The sequence below is a fragment of the Homo sapiens genome, chromosome 17 (genome assembly GCF_000001405.40).
Source record: "Homo sapiens chromosome 17, GRCh38.p14 Primary Assembly".
NCBI classification, from domain to species: domain Eukaryota; kingdom Metazoa; phylum Chordata; class Mammalia; order Primates; family Hominidae; genus Homo; species Homo sapiens.
This window is the reverse complement of record NC_000017.11, coordinates 58,727,397-58,751,506: the sequence shown is the minus strand read 5'-3', so window position 1 is coordinate 58,751,506 and position 24,110 is coordinate 58,727,397. Positions and strand designations below refer to the sequence as shown.

General features: G+C 40.7%; 1 protein-coding gene and 1 long non-coding RNA gene across 8 annotated transcripts in view; one reads left to right on the top strand and one right to left on the bottom strand.

Moving 5' to 3' along the window:
- Positions 1 to 24,110, top strand: part of LOC105371843 (uncharacterized) — a 31,958-nt gene that overhangs the window by 4,604 nt on the left and 3,244 nt on the right. The window contains exon 2 of one of the 2 annotated variants that reach the window (XR_007065865.1): positions 13,363 to 13,436. The exons of the other annotated variant lie outside the window; for it this stretch is intronic. This is a non-coding gene — a long non-coding RNA (uncharacterized LOC105371843). The remainder of the gene's footprint in view (positions 1 to 13,362; positions 13,437 to 24,110) is intronic. 2 annotated transcript variants of the gene reach the window in all.
- RAD51C (RAD51 paralog C) overlaps positions 15,896 to 24,110 on the bottom strand; it is a 43,039-nt gene continuing 34,824 nt past the window's right edge. For 3 of the 6 annotated variants that reach the window (NR_103872.2, NM_058216.3, XM_006722002.5), the window contains 2 exons: positions 18,963 to 19,023; positions 15,896 to 17,389 (listed from right to left, as the gene is read on the bottom strand). Coding sequence is in view for 5 of the 6 variants with exons in the window: in NM_058216.3 (NP_478123.1) it covers positions 17,285 to 17,389; positions 18,963 to 19,023 (166 nt within the window). In the remaining variant the exon portion in view is untranslated. Of the gene's footprint in view, positions 17,390 to 18,962; positions 19,027 to 24,110 lie in introns of all 6 variants that reach the window. The other 3 variants (XM_006722004.4, XM_006722001.5, XM_011525094.3) reach the window with 1 other exon arrangement.

Here is a 24,110-nt window from a genome sequence, read left to right as displayed (position 1 = left end):
ATATAAATTGTATATAAATTACACCTCAATAAAGTTGATTTTTAAAGTTAAAAAGAATTGATTACTGTGTCAGTCCTTGTCCATTTTGCCCTCATACCTATTCTTTCTCCTCCTTTGCCCTGCTCTGTATTGTAGGAGGGCTGACCCTTTCAGGCTGTATTCACTAGGCTACTGTGACAGCTGACTTTCACCTGGGATTTGTCCAGTGGTAGGCACTGACAAGAAATTGGAAGAAGGGAGGAAAGAAGAAAAGCCCTGTTCCCTAGCTCAGTCCTGAGGCCTGATGCATTTCCTTTGTAGCTTTCCTCCCCATGAATATGTTCACTGGGATTCTCTAGCTTTTGCCAGTGACCCTATCCCCTCAGCTCCAGAACAACATCTTCCCCCATTTGTCCTTTAGCCTAGGGATGGTAGAAGCTTTCAGCTTTCTAATCTTTTAGGACTTAGAGAAGTGAATCTTTCCTTTTTGGCTTTTTAGCTCTTCCATAATTTGTGTAACCAATTTCCTGGATTCTCTGTTTTGTTTTTGTTTTTGTTTTTTGAGACGGAGTCTCATTCTGTTGCCAGGCTGGAGTGCAGTGGTGTGATCCCAGCTCACTGCAACCTCTGACTCCCTGGTTCAAGTGATTCTCCTGCCTCAGACTACCAAGTACTGGGATTACAGGCACGTGCCACCAAGCCCAGCTAATTTTCGTATTTTTAGTAGAGATGTGGTTTCACCATGTTGGCTAGGATGGTCTCCATCTCCTAGCCTCATGATCCGCCCACCTCGGCCTCCCAAAATGCTGGGGTTACAGGCATGAGCCACTACACCCCATTCTCTTTTTCCTTAACTAGATCCTGACTGACATAGTAACAAATAATACTTTAAGGAATAAAATGGATTGTATATATAAAAGAACTATAAATTAGTTAAGTTAAAGCAAGTTTAGGTCTCCAAAGTAAACTGAGTTTACTTGACATTAGCAGTAAATGATTTCCTGGAATTAGAAGAATAGCTTGCCAGGGGTTCTGGGGGAGGGAGGGAAGAATGAATAGGTAGAGCACAGGGGATTTTTAGGGCAGTGAAAACTATTCTGTATGATACTGTAATGGTAGCTACATATCCTTATACATTTATCAAAACCCATGGAATGTTCAAGAGTGAACCCTACTGTAAACTATTGACTTTAGTTAATAATAGTGCATCAATATTGGCTTATCAATTGTAACTAGTGTACCACAATAATGCAAAATGTTAATAATAGGAGAAAACATGTAAGTGAGGGGAGAGGGCATATATTGGAACTGTCCTTTCTACTTTTCTGTAAGCCTGAAACTGCTCTAAAAAGTCGATTAATTTCTGTAAGTTAATAAAATATTTGATATATAAACAATTGATGCTTATAACTAAGAAGTCTATCAAAGCTGATTTAAAAAAACAGTCTATAACTTCTCAGTTTATCTTCAATTAATATTAGCTTGGGGCCAGGCACAGTGGCTCACTCATGCCTGTAATCCCAGCACTTTGGGAGGCCAAGGTGGAAGGATCACTTGAGCCCAGGAGTTTGAGACCAGCCTGGGCAACACAGTGAGACCTCACCTCTACAAAAAATAAACAAAATTAGTCAAGCATAGTGGCACATGCCTGTAGTCCCAGCTACTTGGGAGGTTGAGGTAGGAGGATCACTTCAGTCTGGGAGATGAAGGCTGCAGTGAGCCATGTTCACACCACTGCACTCCAGCCTGGGCCACAGAGCAAGACCCTGTCTCAGGAAAAAAATTGGCTTGATTATGCAAGTCTGGAATATTCTGTCTATTCTAAAGTATGCCTCTTTTATCTATAGGCAGAATTAGAAACACTATTTCCAGAAAACCCTCAATTTTGATTTGCTAGTTGTAAAAAACCATTGATTTGAAGCTAATATAATATCTCAAATAGTAAAACATAGTTTATGTTAACATAAAATATTGGCATTTTATATTTTGGAGAGAGTATAATAACAAATTATATATAGCTCATATCCCATGGCCTAAAATTAATGCTTATGTAAATGTTTAAGGCTAGGCCTAATGATAAATATTAAGTTGCAAATATTAAAATGTATATTTTAAATTTATATTTTAAAAACTGAATGGAAGGATAACTAATATGTAAATCAGGGGTGTCCAATCTTTTGGTTTCCCCAGGCCACATTGGAAGAAGAATTGCCTTGGGCCACACATAAAAGATACTAATGATAGCTGATGAGCTAAAAAAAAAAAAAAAAGTCCATGCATAAACCTCATAATGTTTCAAGAAAGTTTATGAATTTGTGTTGGGCTGCATTCAAAGCCGTCCTGGGCTGCATGTGGCCCATGGGCCACAGGTTAGACAGGCTTGATATAAATAGTTTTGTTTTTTTTTTTGAGACAGAGTCTCACTTTGTCACCTAGGCTGGAGTGCAATGGCGCGATCTCAGCTCACTGCAACCTCAGCCTCACGAGTGGCTGGGACTACAGGTGTGCACCACCACACCTGGCTAATTTTTGTATTTTTAGTAGAGACGGGGTTTCACCATATTGGTCAGGCTGAGCTCAAACTCCTGACCTCGTGATCTGTCTGCCTTGGCCTCCCAAAGTACTGGGATTACAGGCCTGAGCCACCACACCTGGCCAATAGTTTTTAAAATATTAATTTGACTATGTTGTCAAATTGACTAGTAGGAAGCAACAGAACACCTGACAACTGAAAAAACTGAGCAACATAGAAACATTTTCAAATAGAAACTTCTTCCTCTTCTACATCCCAGATCAATAATATAAAAATCATTCCCATTTGCTGCCAAAAATACTACTGCTATAATAATTTTTTATTCCTTTTCTGTTGCTGGCTAATATGGTCATATTGCAGCAATAATTCAAAGCTGTCAAAATTAAAATTCACATCAGGTAATAACTGGCCCACATGCACTGTATTTTACTAGTTTTAAAAAGCAAAGAAGTAAATCCCCAAAACAGATTCTAACCTTTTTTCTTGTTTAAACCATTAATAACAATCTTTCTTTTTATCTAGCATGGTTCTTTGAGGAACCAAAATTATTTATTATGACATACTTACAAAAGAAGAAGAGGGCAGTGGTTGATAGTAATTTGATGATGGTGCTATAAATGGCTAACATGTGGTATGTTCCTTCTATAATAAATGGTTCTTCTAAAATAAATTGACACTGTTTTAAAAATCCACTTCAATCTTTTGCTACTAGTTTTCACTTTACAAAAAAATGCTTTATGGTGGTAAAAACTTTACCTTTATTATCATCTAATTTTTAATTACCTTTGTATATTTATTTAAAATAAATACATGCAAGAATTCAGAGTGACATTGATCATGTCCTATTCTAGTTAGCAGATGCCCATTCCTCACTCTGGAACATTCATCAAAAAAACCTAGCTTTTAAAAATGAAAATGAAACAGTCAACTAAATATGAAAACTTCACAAAGGTGTGTTCTTTGCTTAGATAGTACTGAATATTTTATTCTTAGTTGAGCTGATGGAATTGAGCCACAATGACATTTGTGACTAGAAGGGAAGATGGAAATGATTCCATTAACCCAGAGTGCTGTAGCATATGGTAATCATAGGTGGTAGAATAGCTGTGTCGGACAAGGGTAGAAGTAAGCCATGTGGCACAGACATTATCAATTACCACACATGGTAACCATGCTGACAAAATGTATCTTTTCCAGAAAGAAAATGATTTGGGCATAGGAAGTAGTTTGCTGCCTTATGAAAGAGTGATCTATAAATGACATATCTGGCACCAATATAGCACACACATGGTTTCCAGTAATTCTGCAAGCTGAAGATTAAGATTTGATGAACCTCCATATACCTAAGTAATAATACAATACATTGCAGTTATTTGCACAAAGGCAGCAAATCAAAATACATATGCAAACTGAACTTGAGTCCTTCACACATGAAATTATTAATTTATAAAATATCCTTTTAAATTGTCATATAAAATTCTGGAAATTTGTATAGCTGGAAATACATGCCAATAATTTCATGACTCTTTAAGGTTATAAAGCCTATGGGAAAAAGTTCAAGATTAGATCTAGGCTGTAGTGGGATATGGAATTGCAGTTATTTATTCTAAGTATTGACAAAAATACTGAATTTAGAAAGAAATACAACCAAAACTGTGTTTTAAGAAAATTTAATATGCAGACATTCTTTCAGATGAATGCAGGATGGATTGAAGAAGAGAGATTGAAGGCTGGAATCAGTTGGGCAATGGGAGATAATAAGAGTACAGAAAAGAATGGTGTTAGTAGAAATGAAGATGAACAGAAAAAGCTAAAAGACACTGGACAGGAAGATCTGAAATTCTAAGAAGGCACCTAAAGACACAACTTGGGAATATCTGGTAACCCACCCAGAGAGGCTGTCAGGCAGCTGTTTCACTTATCTGTTGCTATAAAACAAACTATCCCAAAACTTAGTGGCTAGAAGAAAAACCATTTAACTATATCTCACAGCTCTGTAGGTTGACTGGACTCAAGCTAGGTGGTTTTCACTTGAAGGTCTGAGGAAGCGGCAATAAGGTAACAGTTGGGGAGAGTATCTGAAGGCTCAACTGGGCTAGATGTCCAAGATGACTTACATTATACCTTTCCATTTATACTGAAAAAAATAGAGTTGAGAAATGATTAATATGTAAATATTTTTCAAGATACTAATTTGTGTTGCCAAACTGGCCATTGATGCTGGTTGCTGAGCGTTAGTTCAGCTAGGGCTGTCAACTGTAATGCCTACACATAACACCTCCAGCATGATGGCTTTAGGATAGTCAGACTTTTTTATTTTTATTTTTGGAGACAGAGTCTTGCCCTGTTGCCCAGGCTGGAGTGCAGCGGCGCGATCTTAGCTCACTGCAACATCCACCTCCCGGGTTCAAGCGATTCTTCTGCCTCAGCCTCCTGAGTAGCTGGGATTACAGGTGCCCACCACCAAGCCCGGCTAATTTTTGTATTTTTAGTAAAGATGAGGTTTCACCATGTTGGCCAGGCTGGTCTCGAACTCCTGACCTCGTGATCTGCCTGCCTCGACCTCCCAAAGTGCTGGGATTACAAGCGTGAGCCACCGTGCACGGCCTAGGGTAGTCAGACTTCTTATATAGTAATTTAGAGCTTCAAGAGTGAGTGTTCTAGTGCCTAAGAAGATGCGTAGCCTTTCATGACCTAGTCTCATATGTCAATAGCATTACTTTTATGGTGCTCTATTGGTCAAAGCAGTAAGAGGCCCATTTTAGATTCAAGAGAAGGGGACATAATACACCCCACCTCCAGATGGGAAAAGTGTCAAATAATTTGTTTTAAATTACCATAATGACATTTACCTTCATGAATTTATGACAAAGTTCAGCAACTTGAACTTGGAGGCTCAGAAATGAGTGCTCCAAATTTAATCAAATGGAGGGATATTAACTAATGTAAATCTCGCGAGAGTATATCAAAATCACAATAACAATATATGAATTTACAGTGAGAACTATTAATTCCAAGGAGACCAGACATTTGCATTGATCTGGCTATACCCAAAGTATCTGGGGAAATCCAGTTATCAACTGGTTGATAATTGGTATGCATAGAACCAGAGGAGTTCATTACGATTTAAATATTTAATGGCAGCCAGGCACAGCGGGCTCATGCCTGTAATCCCAGCACTTTGGGAGGCCGAAGTGGGAAGATCACATGAGCCCAGGGGTTCGAGACCGGCCTGGGCAACAAAGTGAAACCCCGTCTCTACAAAAAATAAAATAATTAGCTGGGCATGGAGGTACATGCCTGTAGTCCCAGCTATTCAAGAGGCTAAGGCGGGAGGATTGCTTGAACCTGGGAGATTGAGGCTGCAGTGAGCTATGATTGTACCACTGCACTCCAGTCTGAGTGACAGAGACCCTCTCAAAAAAAAAAAAGGCCGGGCGCGGTGGCTTACGCCTGTAATCCCAGCACTTTGGGAGGCCGAGGCGGGTGGATCACGAGGTCAGGAGATCGAAACCATCCTGGCTAACACGGTGAAACCCCGTCTCTACTAAAAATACAAAAAATTAGCTGGGCGTGGTGGCAGGCGCCTGTGGTCCCAGCTACTAGGGAGGCTGAGGAAGAAGAAGGGCGTGAACCTGGGAGGCGGGGCTTGCAGTGAGCCGAGATCACGCCACTGCACTCCAGCCTGGGCGACAGAGTGAGACTCCGTCTCAAAAAATAAATAAATAAATAAAAATAATAATAATAGGATATTAATTCAATGGAATGGCATATGCAATTATTTATTTATTTTTAGAGAGACAGGCCAGAGTCCAGTAGCCCAATCATACATAGCTCACTGCAGCCTGGAACTCCTTTCCTAAATAGCTGGGACAAGAGATGTAGGCCACTATGCTGGTTAATTGTTTAAAATTATTTTTTCTAGAGATGAAGTCTCCCTATATTGCCCAGGCTAGTCTCAACTCCTGGGCTTAAGAGATCTTCCCATGCCTCCTCCCAAAGTGTTGGGAATACAGGCATGAGCCACCTTGCCTGACCAGCAGTTTTTTATTTGAGAAAATTCTACATGTACTGATACAAAAACTAGTTGCAGAACACTGTGTATCTTATTTGAGTATTGAAGAAAAAATGTATTTATATTTTAGATACATAGAATAGCTCTGGGAGGTCATATAAAAAACTGGTAATAATGTTTGCCTCCTAAAAAGAAATTAAGGGGGGCCGGGCACAGTGGCTCACGCCTGTAATCCCAGCACTTTGGGAGGCCGAGGCAGTCGGATCACGAGGTCAGGAGATGGAGACCATATTGGCTAACATGGTGAAACACTTTCTCTACTGAAAATACAAAAAAATTAGCCGGGCATGGTGGTGTGCACCTGTAGTCCCAGCTACTCGGGAGGCTGAGGCAGGAGAATGGCGTGAACCTGGGAGGCCGAGCTTGCAGTGAGCTGAGATCATGCCACCGCACTCCAGCCTGGGCAACAGAGCGAGACTCTGTCTCAAAAAAAAAAAAAAAAAAGAAAAAGAAAAAGAAATTAAGGAAAGTGACTCAGAAACAGGAGATAAAATGAAACATACTTTTCATTGAATTTTAAATCCTGTGCTTTTTAAATTTAAATCCTGTACAAATATTACTTAGGAAAAAAATTTAATTAAAACACAAATAAAAAACAACAGCCAGAAAACACCTTTTCTCTTGAAAAACTGATATACTTCCTATCGTTAGGCCAAGACTATTCTATAACCAATTTTTTCTTCTTTGCATTGGTTTGTAAGAATTCCTGATACAAATTCTAATTAATTGGCTCCTCAGCTTTTGTCTTTTATCTTGTGTTAATTTTTTATTTTCAAAGTGAGTAGGACATAATTTCTGTAATTTCACAAGCCCTTCTGACGTGAGCCCAACTTTTAAATCATCATAAAATAAACTTCACATAAAATCACTCTCAGAGTCACGGTAGCTAAAAACTTACATCTTAACTACACATAATGGGAGTCAAATGGATAGTTGAAACATAAAAGGACATCATCAGATATCAATGGTACACAAAAACTGAAAACAAGCAAAGGAATATACTGTGGTCAAAAATACATAAAATCTTGTCAACATATTTTATGCCAAAATCAGTTTTGAGGGAGCAAAATGTTCTGTAAATTTTAACAGTAACAGTAAATTTAGGCACTGACGTTAACTAAAAATACATATTATGAACAGCCAGCCTCTCTTCTTCAACTGAATGTTGTTGTTTTATTTTTTAAAGCAATATGACATTTCAACATTAGTCTCAAAACTGAAATGCAATGTATTGTATTGGGATCCCTAATATTATTGATTTTGAAAATAAAAGTGTATAAATGTCACTCCTTTCCATGTTTCCAGTATTGATCATTTAAAGTGAATATTTAATATTGCCTCTACAAAAGCAAAACCCATAAAATTTAGACCAATGAATTTAGCAATCATTTAGTCTTACCTTCTTTGAGAAATAAGGTAAAGATATGAGAAAATAAAGGTGCCAAAACTGACATGGCTTGGTAACATCTCACATGCAACTAAAATGCACATCTTCCAACTCTAGTCTCATGTTCTTTCTACCACATTATATTGTAATTTTATCACTAGTTGCAAACAGTTTAGTAAGAAGGTTATCAACAAGAAAAGTAAAATACTGTAGAGAGAAAAATAAGAATAGCTAATATACGAGCCAAGTGCAGTGGCTCATGACTGTAATTCCAGCACTTTGGGAGGCCAAGGTGGGGGATCACTTGAGGTCAGGAGTTCAAAATCAGCCTAGCCAATATGGTGAAACCCCATCTCTACTAAAAATACAAAAAATAGCTGGGTGTGGTGGTGCATGCCTGTAATCCCAGCTACACAGGAGGCTGAGGCATGAGAACCACTTGAGCCCGAGAGGTAGAGGTTGCAGTGAGCTAAGATCGAGCCACTGCACTCCAGCCTGGGTGACAGAGTAAGATTCTGTCTCCAAAAAAAAAAAAAAAAAAAAAAGGGGGGGTGCCGAGAACGGTGGCTCACTCACACCTGTAATCCTAGCACTTTAGAAGGCCAAGGTGGGCAGATCACGAGATCACCTAAGGTCAGGAGTTTGAGACCAGCCTGGTGAAACCCCGTCTCTACTTAAAATACAAAAATTAGCCGAGCATGACGGCGGGCACCTGTAGTCCCAGCTACTCTGGAGGCTGAGGCAGGAGAATTGCTTTAACCTGGGAAGTGGAGGTTGCAGTGACTCAAGATTGTGCCACTGTACTCCAGCCTGGGCGACAGACCGAGACTCTGTCTCAAAACAAAACAAAACAAAACAAAACAAAAACAGGTGTGGTGATGTGCATTTGGGAGGCTACTGTGGGAGGAGGGCTTGAGCCCAAGAATTGAAGGTTGCAGTGAGCTAGGATCACACTATTGCACTCCAGCCTGGTGACTCATGTCTGTAATCCCAGCACTTTGGGAGGCCCAGGTGGTGGCATCGCTTGAGCCCAGGAGTTCGATACCAACCTGGGCAACATGATGGAACCCCATCTCTATAAAGAATACAAAAATTAGCCGGATATAGTGGCATGTGCCTGTAGTCCCAACTACTTGGGAGGCTGAGGTGGGAGGATTACCTGAGCCTGGGAGGCTGCAATGAGCCACGGTTGTGCGCCACGGTTGTGCCACTGCACTCCAGCCTGGGTGGCAGAGCAAGACCCTGTGTCAAAAAAAACCAAACAAGGCCGGGCCTGGTGGCTCACGCCTGTAATCCCAGCACTTTGGGAGGCCGAGGAGGGCGGATCACAAGGTCAGGAGTTCGAGACCAGCCTGGCCAACATGGTGAAACCCCATCTCTACTAAAAATACAAAAATTAGCCAGGCATGGTGGTGGGCGCCTGTAATCCCAGCTACTCAGGAGGGTGAGGCAGGAGAATTGCTTGAACCTGGGAGGCGGACGTTGCAGTGAGCCAAGATCGCGCCACTGCACTCCAGCCTGGGCAAAAGAGCAAAACTCTGTCTCAAAAACAAAACAAAACAAAACCAATCTAAATGTCCACCAAATGTCCATTAACACAACGGTCCCCAACGTTTTTGGCATCAGGGACTGGTTTCATGGAAGATAATTTTTCCACGGACGAGGGGCAGGGGGGATACTTTTGGGATGATTCAAGCACATTACATTTAGTGTGCACTTTATTTCTATTATTAAATTGTAATATATAATGAAATAATTACACAACAATCAGTGGGAGCCCTGAACTTATTTTCCTGCAACCAGATGGACACATCTTGGGGTGATGGGAGACAGTCACAGATCATCAGGCATTAGATTATCATAAGGAGCATGCAACCTAGATTCCTTGTATGCACAGTTCACGATACGGTTCGGGCTATGAGAATCTAATGCCACTGCTAATATGACAGGAGGCAGAGCTTGAGCAATGAAGGGCGGCTATAAATACTGATGAAGCTTTGCTCTCTCCCTCAGAACTCACCTCCTGCTCTGCAACCCAGTTTCTAATAGGCCACAGACCAGCATCAGTCCGTGCCCTGGGGGTTGGGGACACGTGCATTAACAGATGAATGGATAAACAAAATGTACAGTAGTAGTCTCTCCTTACCCGTGATTTCACTTTCCATGGTTTCAGTTACCTGAGGTCAACTGATGTCTAAAAATATTCAATGGAGAATTCCAGAAATAAACAATTCGTAAGTTGTAAATTGTGCAATATTCTGAGTAGCATGATGAAATCTTGCACTATCCTGCTCTGTCCTGCCTGGAACATGAATCATCCCTCTGTATATGCTACCTGCTCCGTTAGTCACTTAATACCTGGCTCGGTTATCAGATCAACTGTCAGGTGTTGGTATAGCAGTGTTTCAGTTTAAATAGGCCTTATTTTACTTAATAATGGTGCCAAATTGCAAGAGTAGTGATGCTGGCGATTAGGATATGCTAAAGAGAAGCCATAAATTTCTTCTTTTTAGTGAAAAGGTGAAAATTGTAGATTTAATAAAAAAGTTATGCCAACATTGCTAAGAGCTATGGTAAGAACGAGTCTTCTGGCCGGGCGCAGTGGCTCACGTCTGTAATCCCAGCACTTTGGGAGACTGAGGCAAGTGAATCACCTGAGGTCAGGAGTTGAAGACCAGCCTGGCCAACATGGTAAAACCATGTCTCTACTAAAAATACAAAAATGAGCTGGGTGTGGTTGCACACACCTGTAATCCCAGCTACTTGGGAGGCTGAGACAGGAGAATCGCTTGAACCGGGGAGGTGGAGGTCTCAGCGAGCCAAGATCACACCACTGCACTCCAACCTGGGCGAGAGAGAGAGTGAAACTCCATCTCAAAAAACAAAAACAAAAACAAAAAACGAGTCTTGGCTGGGCGCAGTGGCTCACGCCTGTAATCCCAGCACTTTGGGAGGTCAAGGCGGGCGGATCACGAGGTCAGGAGATTGAGACCATCCTGGCTAACATGGTGAAACCCCATCTCTACTAAAAATACAAAAAAATTAGCCGGGCGTGGTGGCGGGTGCCTGTAGTCCCAGCTACTCGGGAGACTGAGGCAGGAGAATGGTGTGAACCCGGGAGGCGGAGCTTGCAGTGAGCTGAGATCGCGCCACTGCACTCCAGCCTGGGCAACAGAGCGAGACTCCGTCTCAAAAAAACAAACAAATGAACAACAACAACAAAAAAAAGAGTCTTCTATCCATGAAATTGTGAAGAAAAAAATTCATGCATCATATATATAGAGGTGTGGTACTACCTTTGGTTTCAGGTATCCACTGGGGGGTCTTAGAGTGTATTCCCCTTGGTTAAAGGGGGACTACCGTGATATATACATGCAATGGAATATTATTTAGCAATAAAAATAAATGAAGTTCTTATATATGCTACAATATGGATAAATCTTATAAACATTATGCTAAGGCCAGGTGTGGTGGCTTATGCCTACAATCCCAGCACTTTGGTAAGCTGAAGCAGGCAGATCAACTGAATTTAGGAGTTAAAGACCAGCCTAGGCAACATGGGAAACCCCGTCTGTACAAAAGGTACAAAAATTAGCTGGGTGCGGTGGCCTGCACCTGTAGACCCAGCTACGCGGGTGGATGAGGCAGGAGAATCGCTTGAGCCCAGGAGGCAGAGGTTGCAGTGAGCCAGTATCACACCACTGCACTCCAGCCTGGGAGACAGAGCAAGACCCTGCTTCAAAAAAAAAAAAAAAAAAAAAAAGAAAAGAAAAGAAAAAGAAAAAGAAAAACCCAAAAAACAAAAAAGAAAACCAGCATTATGCTAAGTGAAATAATTGAGACATAAAAAGAACAGTGTTAGCCGGACATGGTGGCATGGACCTGTAGACCAAGCAACTTGGGTGGCTGAAGAGGGAGGAGGCCTTGAGTGCAGGAGTTCAAGGCCTGTATAACTTAGCAACACCCTGGCTTAAATAAATAAAAATATTGTGGGCCGGGCACGGTGGCTCACGCCTGTAATCCCAGCACTTTGGGAGGCCGAGGCGGACGGATCACCTGAGGTTGGGAGTTCAACACCAGCCTGATTAACATGGAGAAACCCTGTCTCTACCAAAAATACAAAAAAAATTAGCCAGGCGTGGTGGCGCATGCCTGTAATCCCAGCTACTTGGGAGGCTGAGGCAGGAGAATCGCTTGAACCCGGGAGGCGGAGGTTGCAGTGAGCCAAGATGGCGCCGTTGCACTCCAGCCTGGGCAACAAGAGTGAAACTCTGTCTCCAGGAAAAAAAAACAACATATATATATATGCATATATATACACACACACAGACATATATATAAAGATATATATACACATATATACACACACATATATACACACACGCACACATATATATACACATACATATACATATATAGTATAATTTCACATATATTTACAGTGGGCAAATTCAGAGAAACAAAGTAGATTAAAGATTATCAAGAGCTGGGGAGAGTGTAGAATGGGGAGTTTTTGTCTGGGGTGATGAAGTTTTAGAAATTAGTGGTGATGACTGCACAACATTGCGAATGTAATTATTGCCATTTAAATGTATATTTACAAATGGTTAAAATGGCAAATTTTATGTATAGCTATTTTACCATATTAAAAAAGTAAACATAAAACCAAGAAACTATTAATTTTATATTTGTAATCAAACAGGCTCATAAACACCATCCTAGTCATGACCAAATAGTATTTTCATCTGACCATTTGAAAAACAGAATTTGTTCATATCATGTCAGGGTCACACACACACAAAAAAAAAACAGAAAAAAGAAAAAAACACAGAATTTATTCTATATCTTATTTGAAATATTGTTTCAAAAAGTAGTTAAATGTGTGTTAGGCACTAAATGGATGGAAGGAAGGAAAGATGAAAAGCAGACAGGCTAGCCTATCACATCCACCTTACAGAGCTGCTAGAAGGATCAAATAAAATGATGTGTAAGTGTTTTTTTTTTTTCTTTTTGAGATGGAGTCTCGCTCTGTCACCCAGGCTGGAGTTCAGTGGCCTGATCTCAGCTCACTGCAACCTCTGCCTCCCAGGTTCAAGCGATTCTCCTGCCTCAGCCTCCCGAGTAGCTGGGACTACAGGCATGTGCCACCACGTCCAGCTAATTTTTGTAGTTTTAGTAGAGATGGGGTTTCATTATATTGACCAGGCTGGTGCTGAACTCCTGACCTCAGGTGATCCGCCCACCTCGGCCTCCCAAAGTGCTGAGATTACAGGCGTGAGTCACTGTGCCTGGCCAAAGTGTTTCATAAATAATAAAGAACTATATAAATATGTTTTAAGTTGCATATCCCGAAAATTGAAGCTAAAAATACAATTTATTTTTCCTAAGAAAAAATACTTCTGAGCTGATTTGTCAAACTAACCACAAGATGAAACCTGGATACAATCATTGGTTTGCAGAAGGTGAGACTTTAACCAATTTACGGGCATAGCATTAGGTGGCAAGCCTATATAAAGTGTGGGACATAGGTGTACTATCATATCCTCAGTTAAAACCAAGTAACAAAAAATGCTAAGGGGCCTCAGCGCAGTAGCTCATGCCTGTAATCCTAGCACTTCGGGAGGTCAAGATGGGCAGATCATGTGAGATCAGGAGTTTGAGAACAGCCTGGCCAACATGGTGAAACCCTGTCTCTACTACAAATAGAAAAATCAGCCGGGCATGGTGGTGTATGCCTGTAGTTCCAGCTACTCAGGAGGCTGAGGCAGGAGAATCACCTGAACCCAGGAGGCGGAGGTTTCAGTGAGCCGAGATGGTGCCACTGCACTCTGGACCAGGTGACAGAGCAAGAAGAGCGAAACTCCATCTCAAAAAAAAAAAAAAAAAAAAAAGAGCTGGGCATGGTCGTGAATGCCTGTAGTCCCAGCAACTCAGGAGGCTGTGGCATGAGAATCGCGTGAACCCTGGAGGTGGAGGTTGCAGTGAGCTGAGACTGTACCACTGCACTCCAGCCTGGGCAACAGAGCAAGACTCTGTCTCAAAATAAATAAATAAATAAAATAAAGTACAGTGTTATGGTACTTTATAAAAAGAGATTCTGGAGGCCAGGCCAAATGGCTCACATCTGTAATCCCAGCACTCTGGAAGGTTGAGGCAGGAGGATCACTTGAGCCCAAGAGTTTGAGACCAGACCGGGCAATATCGTGAGACTGTCTCTACAAAATAAAAATAAATTAGCTGGGCATGGTGGCGCATGCCTGTACTTCCAGCTACTAAGGAGTCTGAAGTGGAAAGATCATCACTTGAGCCTGGGAGGTCAAGGCTGCAGTGAGCAGTGATCGTGCCACTGCATTGCAGTCTGGGTGACAGAGTAAGACCCTGTCTCAAAAAAAAAAAAAAAGAGATCCTACATTATTTTATCTATCTCATCTGATGCTTGGTAACACTGATATTTATCACTTATAACACCCTCCTCCTCTGGATTTTATGATTTGAGAAGACAGAATATAAAATGATGGGTATTTGTTAAAATGATGGCATCAATTACAATAAAATGTGCTTTGAGGTCCACAAAAGATAGTCACAATTAGTCATTCTATGTTAGAGAAGTGATTTGAAGTTAGTCTTGGTTTATAGCCTCTGTACTGGCATAATTGTTAGCAGTGCCTGCTTTCACTCTCAAGTCCTGGTAAATGATGGCTATTCTATATAATCAATTGCAGAAAATAATAATTACACTGAAGTAATTTTATAAATTTACTGTTTAGTCTGGGATAGGAAGTAACACCTATCACTAAAATTTGGAAAATATTGCTGCTACAATATTTAATATTCAATTATTTAAATAATTTTGCAGTCATAAAAAAGAACAAGACCATGTCTTTTGCAGGAACACGGATGGAGCTAGAGGCTATTATTCTCAGCAAACTAATGCAAGAACAGAAAACCAAGTACCGCATGTCTCCCACCCATAAGTGGGAGCTAAATGATGAGAACTTAAGAACACAAAAGAAAAAACAGGCTAGGCACAATGGGTCATGCCTGTAATCCCAGCACTTTGGGAGGCTGAGGTGGGTGGATCACGAGGTCAGGAGTTTGAGACCAGCCTGGATGTGATGAAACCCCATCTCTACTAAAAATCCAAAAAATTAGCTGGGTGTGGTGGCGTGCACCTGTAATCCCAGCTACTCTGGAGGCTGAGGCGGGATAATCGCTTGAACCCAGGAGGTGGAAGTTGCAGTGAGCCAAGATCCTGCCACTGCACTCCAACCTGGGTGACAGAGCAAGCTTGCATTTAAAAAACAAAACAAAACAAAACAAAACAGACAAACACTGGGGTCTACTACCTAAGGGTGGAAGGTGGGAGGAAGGAGAGAAGCAGAAAAGGTAACTATTGGGTACTGAGTTTAACTCCTGGGTGATGAAATAATCTGTACAATAAACCCGTGACATGAGTTTACCTACGTAACCAACCTTCACACGTACCCCTGAACCTAAAATAATAGTTTAAAAATAAATATATAAATATGGCTGGGCGCGCAGTCTCACACCTGTTAATTCCAGCACTTTGGGAGGCAGAGGTGGGCGGGTCACTTGAGCCCCAGGAGTTCGCGACCACCCTAGCCAACATAGAGAAACCTGTCTCTACTAAAATTACAAACTATTAGCTTGGCACGGTGGTGCATGCCTGTAATCCCAGCTACTTGGGAGGCTGAGGCACAAGAATCGCCTAAACCCTGGAAGCAGAGGTTGCGGTGAGCCAAGATTGTGCCACTGCACTGCAGTCTGGGTGACAGAGCGAGATTCTGTCCCAAAATTAATTATTTTTTCCCCCACAGGGAACCAAAGTAAATTTTGTGAGTAAGTTGAAAAGTACTAAGAGCCAAGTGTGAAAATATTTTTAGGTGATTTTGAAACCATCGAGAATTGAAATCTTTAATTTATTTAAGCAAAGTTAAGATTATTCAAAGAAAAATGTCAACATAACAACTAGAATTCTAGAATGGATCATACCGTGTTTCAAAATATAGAAATGAGGCCAGGTGTGGTGGCTCACATCTGTAATCCCAGCACTTTGGGAAGACAAGGCAAGAGGATCGCTTGAGACCAGGAGTTTGAGACCAGCCTGGGCAACATAGTGAGACCTTGTCTCTACAAAAAAATCCAAAAATTAGCAGGGCATGGTAGTGCCTCCCTGTAGTCCCAGCTACTCAGGAGGCTGAAGTGAGAGGATTGCTTGAGCCCGGGAGGTCGAGGCTGCAGTGAGCTATGATCATGCCACTGCACTCCAGCCTGGGTGACGGAGTGAGACCTTGTCTCAAAACAAAAACAAAAACGTAGCAATAAATGATTGTGAGCTTATCAACCTATTCTGGAAGACATATGTTCCAAACAATCTCTAGATGAGATAACAGCTCCAAAGTCCTCCCTTTAACATTATAAAATGTCATTAAAAGCTAAACAAATGGCTTAGATTTTAGGATTGAGGTCACTAAAATCAGTTTGGTCACCTAAAATTTGTATCTTACCTATAAAACTGAACAGAATAATATGCTGACTCATGGTGCTGGCTTCTCTTTTATAATTATAAAAGCGGGTAATTTTAAAGAATTATCAAATTTACATTTAAAAAGAACATGGCTGGGCACAGTGGCTCACGACTGTAATCCCAGCACTTTGGGAGGCAGGGGCAGGCAGATCACCTGAGGTCAGGAGTTCAAGACCAGCTTGGCCAACATGGTAAAACTCTGTCTCTACAAAAATACAAAAAATTAGCCAGGCACGATGGCAGGTGCCTGTAACCCCAGCTACTCGGGAGGCTGAGGCAGATGAATCGCTTGAACCTGGGAGGCGGAGGTTGCAGTGAGCAGAGATTGCGCCATTGCACTCCAGCCTGGACTACAGAGCGAGAATCCATCTCCAAAAAAAAAAAAAAAAAAAAAAACACAATAAGAATATGATATGTTTCTTCCTAAGATTTTATAGGCAACTGGGAAAGAAAGGGGTGAAAACAGTATGAATGGTAAATTCAGACTGGCCACATGAGATCAGCTTTCCACATTTGTGAAATATAATAATCATCTCTACTGAATGTTACTGAAAATGAAAACAGGGTAAAATATAATTGCAGAATACTGCTTTAGAAAAACTTTCACAGAATCATATTTAGGTATTTTTCCCATTCACTTCATATGATCTGGATTCATTCATGCCATAGTGTGTTTATTTATACTTTAAGGTAACAAGTCCACTTGTACACATTGATTTCACAACATCAATAAATTTGTACACTTTGAGATTTGTTTCTGGGTTATAATTCTTCCTCTGGGTCTCGTGACCGTTTCCGGGTGCTCAAGGAACCTTCTGTTTGCAATGAACATGCAGAAGTAACAACAGTATCTCTAAATCCCTGAGGCTGAAAGATAAAAAATATATATACAAATATGCTTTAAGAACATTTGAAGACTGATCTTAGAAATATTTTTAAGTAACTAATAAGAAAGCTACTTTATTCTAGGGCCAGGCGCAGTGGCTCACACCTGTAATCCCAGCACTTTGGGAGGCTGAGGTGGGCAGATCATGAGGTCAGGAGTTCAAGACCAGCCTGGCCAACATGGTGACCCCTATCTCTACCAAAAATATAAAAATTAGCTGGGCATGGTGGCACACACCTCTAGTCCCAGCTACTCTGGAGGCTGAGGCAGGAGAATCGCTTGAACCTGGGAGGCGGAGGTTGCAGTGAGACAAGATTGTGCCACTGCACTCTAGCCTGGGCGAAATAGTGAGACTTCGTCTCAAAAAAAAAGAAAGTTCTTGAGATAGAAATTTATCAACCACTGTGAATGAAGAGAATAAACCTCATGGATACGTGCCAAAGCCCGGGCTATATTAAGAGTATTTTATATATACTTATTTATACCCTTGCATACACACGCACAGAAATAACATTGCATTATAAAAATGTTCTCTAAAGGTCAATCCTAACAAACTTTACGATAGCTTTGTTAGAAGTAAAAGGAAATAACCTAAGTCTTAGGTACTTTACAGATTTATTTTCATAATTAAATACTCTAAAGTTTTCCAACTATGATATTTCTCTCTCTCTTTTTTTTCCCCAACTAGGATATTTCAAGTACACCTGGGTACTGCAAAGACTAAGTGGATAATTCAGTTTCAGAATCTCTATTTCTGTTTTTGTTGTTATAAAAATGAGATAAAGCCGGGCTCGGTGGCTCACGCCTGTAATCCCAGAATTTTGGAAGGCTGAGAAGGGCGGATCACTTGAGGTCAGGAGTTTGAGACTAGTCTGGCCAACATGGCGAAACCCCATCTCTACTAAAAACACAAAAATTAGCCAGGCGTGGTAGCACACGCCTATAATCCCAGCTACTAGGGAGGCTGAGGCAGGAGAATTGCTTAAACCAGTAGGGCGGAGGCTGCAGTGAGCCAAGATTGCACCGCTGCACTCCAGCCTGGGCGACGCAGAGACTCCATCTCAAAAAAAAAGAGATGCCAAAAATATATTTGGCTCAACACTATTGATAAATATGCATATTTCAGCCAAAAAATGTGTGTTCTATGATGTAAATTCACAGAAGAATTAACATCTTAAAGTGGGCTATATTTGGTGCTACAATAGATCTATAATACCTACAGACCAAAATAAGTAATGTTAGTATTTTTTCTTTTCTGGAAATCTTCAACAACTTTCACTTTAAAGATTTTTAATATCCTGACATTACATATGGCATGGAACACACTACCCCAAAATAAGTATTTCCTCTGCTCTTAAGAATAAATTTCAGTCCATTTGTGACTACAATATTCTGTATATACTACTATTTTGGGGACAATGTTCTAAGCATCAAAAGCTGTCCTCAAATATGCTTGCTGCCTACAGAAGTTGACAGAAGCAAGTTGTAAATTCTCTCTTTAGATAATTACCGCCCATCAATATCAAAATCCCACTCTAATCAAATAATACTGACTTTGATTTGAAACAGTACTGTGCATTCCTTCTGGCTGGGTGACTTGTACAATGTTGCCAACCTGCTTAAAGAAAAAGAATAAATACATACAAACACATGAACTTAATTAATTAAAAGTTCAGATGACCAAACTCATTATTTAAATGTATAGGTTTATTATATTAATAATTCTATTTTTTCTCTAAGAACACAAAAAGGAGAGAAATATTAAAAATACACCCTTCAAATTACCCGTATGTATATAACAGAGTTTATATGAAATTTTAAAGCAACCTAAAAGTCCAATGACTGATTCAAATAAATTATTTTACATATGATGAGATATTACTTATGCTAAAAACTAAACGTGGAAGAAAATATTCAATGAGATAGGAAAGTATTAATAATATACTAAATAATAGTTATACTGTATTATCCCATATTTATAAGTATGTATACGCACATCTAAAAGAATTGATAGAAGACTACAATCAAGAAGTTAAAAGCTGTTATCACAAGGTAAAGGTTGCTTGCTTATATTTTCCAAACTGTCTGCAGTAATCATGTTTTTTTAATTATTGCTGAAGAATTATGATAATTTCTTATACTACAAATGAGAAACACTTACTCATATTACACCCAATAAAAATAGCTAGGACGACATTGTTTTAAAATGATGCACCTAGGCATGGTGGCTCATGTCTGTAATCCCAGCTCTTTAGGAGGGCAAGGCATGAGGATCACTTGAGACCAGGAGTTTGAAGCCATCCTGGGCAACATAGTGAGACCCCCATCTCTACAAAAATAATAATATAAAATGATTATGTCCCAAAAATAAGTCATGACAGAACAAGATCTGCTTAGGTGGGATTTTATTATGTCTTATACAATTAATATAAAACTGAAAGCTAAAAGTAGCTGAGAAATAAATTTCTAAGCTCTTATTAACTATATTCAAGTACTGTAACAGCAACAAATATAAACAAAAACCTTTAAGACTGCTTTTTGGCTGGGCGCGGTGGCTCACGCCTGCAATCCCAGCACTTTGGGAGGCCAAGGCAGGCAGATCACCTGAGGTCGGGAGTTCGAGACCAGCCTGACCAACATGGAGAAACCCCATCTCTACTAAAAATACAAAATTAGCCGGGTGTGGTGGCGCATGCCTGTAATCCCAGCTACTCGGGAGGCTGAGGCAGGAGAATCGCTTGAACCTGTGAGGCAGAGGTTGCGGTGAGCTGAGATCATGCCATTGCACTCCAGCCTGGGCAAAAAAGAGTGAAACTCCATCTCAAAAAAAAAAAAAAAAACTGCTTTTAAGAATTACTTTAAAACTGATACACTGTAACTTATTCACAATAGCCAGAAGGTGGAAGCAACCCAAGTGTGCATCCACAGATGAATAAACAAAATGTGGTATGTACATACAATGGAATATGCAGACTTAAGGAAGAAAATTCTGACACATGCTACAACATAAATGAGCCTTGAAGACATTATACTAAGTGAAATAAGCCAGTCACATCAGAACAAGTATTATATGATTCCAATTATATGGGGTTGCTAGAGGAGTAAAATTCAGAGACAGAAGGTAGAATGGTGATTGTCAGGGGCTGGGGGTAAAAAAGAATGAGTTAGCATTTAATGGGTACAGAGTTTCAGTATGGGAAGATGAAAAAGGTCTGAAAATGGATGATGATGGCTGCACAATATGAATGTACCTAATGCCAGTGAACTATATGTAAACATAAAATGGTAAATTTTATGTTATATACATGTTTTAGCACAATGTAATGAAACTGATCTAAAAAATACAGATTCTAACCTAGAGGAAAATAAGATTCTCAGAGTTATAAGGGTCATTTACTTACACAAAATAGAATGATTTGTTTTCAAAGACAATTCAAAAAGGACATTTTGGCTATGATCTGTTACTCTCTTAATTTTGAAATTGCCCCTCTTCTCAGACACAATTCAAAAGAAAAACACAGACCAAAATACAGCAGAATCCAAAATGTTCTATACTCTGTAATTGCAACTTTAAACATAAATAATTGCTAAGTAATATGTAATACAAGAATAGCTATGTTGAGGCTGGGTGCGGTGGCTCACGCCTGTAATCCCAGCACTTTGGGAGGCTGAGGCAGGCAGATCACGAGGTCAGGAGTTCAAGACCAGCCTGGCCAACACGGTGAAACCCCCATCTCTACTAAAGATACAAAAAAAAAAAAAAAAAATTAGCTGGGCGTGGTGGCACGCACCTGTAATCCCAGCTACTGAGGAGGCTGAGGTAGGAGAATCACTTGAACTGGGGAGGTGGAGGTTGCAGTGAGCCGAGATCGTGCCTCTGCACTCCAGCCTGGGCGACAGGGCGAGACTCCATCTCAAAAAAAAAAAAAAAAAAGAACAGCTGTGTTGAGTGGAATTATAAACTTTTATAATTCCCTAGGGTTGATAATCTATCTTTAATGCAAAAATTCACAGAAAAAGAGAGGCAAGGTGTATTTTAACCTGCCTTATTAAGAAGTCATTTTTTGAATGATGAAAATCAGCTAGCCTTCTGAAAAATTGGTATCTAAATCACCTCATATCAACAGTATGTCCAAAAAAGGTGCCTAGTACATCTATCCTGAGGAAATTATTAAAAAGTGAAAAGCTTTTAAGAAGCATTTACATGCTTGTTAAGAATCCTAAAGTCGGCCGGGCACAGTGGCTCATGTCTATAATCCAGCACTTTGGGAGGCTGAGGTGGGCAGGTCACTTGAGGTCAGGCATCCGAGACCAGCCTGGTCAAAATGGTGAAACCCTGTCTCTACTAAAAATACAAAAGTTAGCCAAGTGTGGTGGCGCATGCCTATAATCCCAGCTACTTGGGAGGCTGAGGCAAGAGAATCACTTGAATCAGGGAGGTGGAGGTTGCAGGGAGCCGATATGGCGCCACTGCACTCCAGCCTGGGTGACAGAGTGAGACTCCATCTCAAAAAACAAAACAAAACAAAAAAAGAATCCTAAAGTCAAAGGGGCATTAATTATTCAGGTTGAAAATCATCCTCAGGCCGGGCGCGGTGGCTCACACCTGTAATCCCAGCCCTTTGGGAGGCCGAGGTGGATCACCTGAGGTCGAGAATTCGAGGCCAGCCTGACCAACATGGAGAAACCCCATCTCAACTAAAAATACAAAAAATTAGCCAGGCGTGGTGGTGCATGCCTGTAATCCCAGCTACTCGGGAGGCTGAGGCAGAAGAATCGATTGAACCCGGGAGGCCGAGGTTGTAGTGAGCTGAGATTGCGCCACTGCACTCCAGCCTGGGCAACAAAAGCGAAACTCCATCTCAAAAACAAAACCAAACAAAACAAAAAAATCATCCTCAAATTTCTAGGTAAAAATACCACTTTTATGCATCATGTCTCTTCAGAGATCTTTTAAAATGAAAACTAAACCAAAGAATCACTTGGCTCATGGCCCCAGCTGAGATGTAGCTTAACATATGGCTGAACTACATAGTTTGGGTCAGGAAGAAATAAGACAGAAGCACAATTTGTGCTCTAAAACTGAGCACACATATGAAACACTGTGTGGGGGTGTTGATTTATTACTCCACTCTACCACCAGATCGTCTTGGCAAAGAGTAGTGTAATTCTGAATAATCTTGGCCTCATATAACCATGAATATGCAAATTGGAGGAAAACTCACATAATATAAGGACATAGACAAAAGTATTTCTTTTAATAACTGTTGGAATATTATTCCATCATTAGTCTAAGGGTAAAAATCAGGTGTTACTGGTGAAGGACAGGGGCTGGGGCATGAGACAGCACACCTAAGTTCAATGCCCAATATAATTTGGCTATTCAAGATTTTTAGTTTCTGGACGGGTGCTGTGGCTCACGCCTATAATCCCAGTACTTTAGGAGGCCGAGGTAGGTGGACTGACTGAGTTTAGGAGTTCGAGGCCAGCCTGGGCAACACGGCAAAACCCCATCTCTACAAAAATTACAAAAATTAGCTGGGTGTGGTGGTACATGCCTGTGGTCCCAGCTACTTGGGAGGCTGAGGTGGGAGGACTGCTTGAGCCCAGGAGGTTGAGGTTGCAGTGAGCTGAGATTGCACCACTGCACTCTAGCCTGGGCAACAGAGTGAGATCCTGTCTCAAAAAAAAAAAGAAAAAAAAAAAAGATTTTTAGTCTTCCTCTCCAAATGAAAAATGTTCATTTTTATAACTATTTTTCCCTGATATGAATTTCTATTTCCATCCTTTTAAAATAACCTAAAATTTAAAAAGCATAAAGCATACAAAATTTCATGCAACTTTTTTTTTTTTTGAGACAGAGTCTTACTCTGCTGCCCAGGCTGGAGTGCAGTGGTGCAATCTTGGCTCACTGCAACCTCTGCCTCCTGGGTTCAAGTGATTCTCCTACCTCAGCCTCCTGAGTAGTTGGGATTACAGGTGCCCGCCACCATGCCTGGCTAATTTTTTTGTATTTTTAGTAGAGACACAGTTTCCCCATATTGGCCAGGCTGGTCTAGAACTCCCAACCTCAGGTGATCCACCTGCCTTGGCCTCCCAAAGTGCTGGGATTACAGGTGTCAGCCACTGCGCCCGGCCTCATGTAACTTTTTTTTTTTTTTTAATATCTTAGAGATGGGGTCCCATTTTGCGGCCCAGCCTGAAGTATAATAGCTCAATCATAGCTCACTGCCACCCTGACTTCCAGGGCTCAAGTGATTTTCCCAACTCTGGCCTCCCAAACAGCTAGAACTATAGGTGTGCACCACCACACCTGGCTAATTTTTTATTATCTATAGAGGTGGTGTCTTGCCATTTCGGCCAGGCTGTTCTCCAACTTCTGGGCTCAAGTTCATGCAACTTTAACAACTTAAAGATGTCAGGTTTCAAATGATAAAGAACAAAACTACTTTAATGCTATTAAATGAGGTCAATTTATTTTGATTACATAAAGTATGTACATTATTTATCATATATCCACAGCCCGAAAAAAAAAAGTTTGAAGAAAAAAGATTTTACCTAAAAAAAGGAGTAAGCTACATATTCAGATTGGCTGGCAATCAACACAATACTACAATTACCTTCTAGAAACAGTTATTATAGAAGAAAAGAAATGAACTCCATAAAGTCAGCTATGGCCGAGTGCGGTGGCTCATGCCTGTA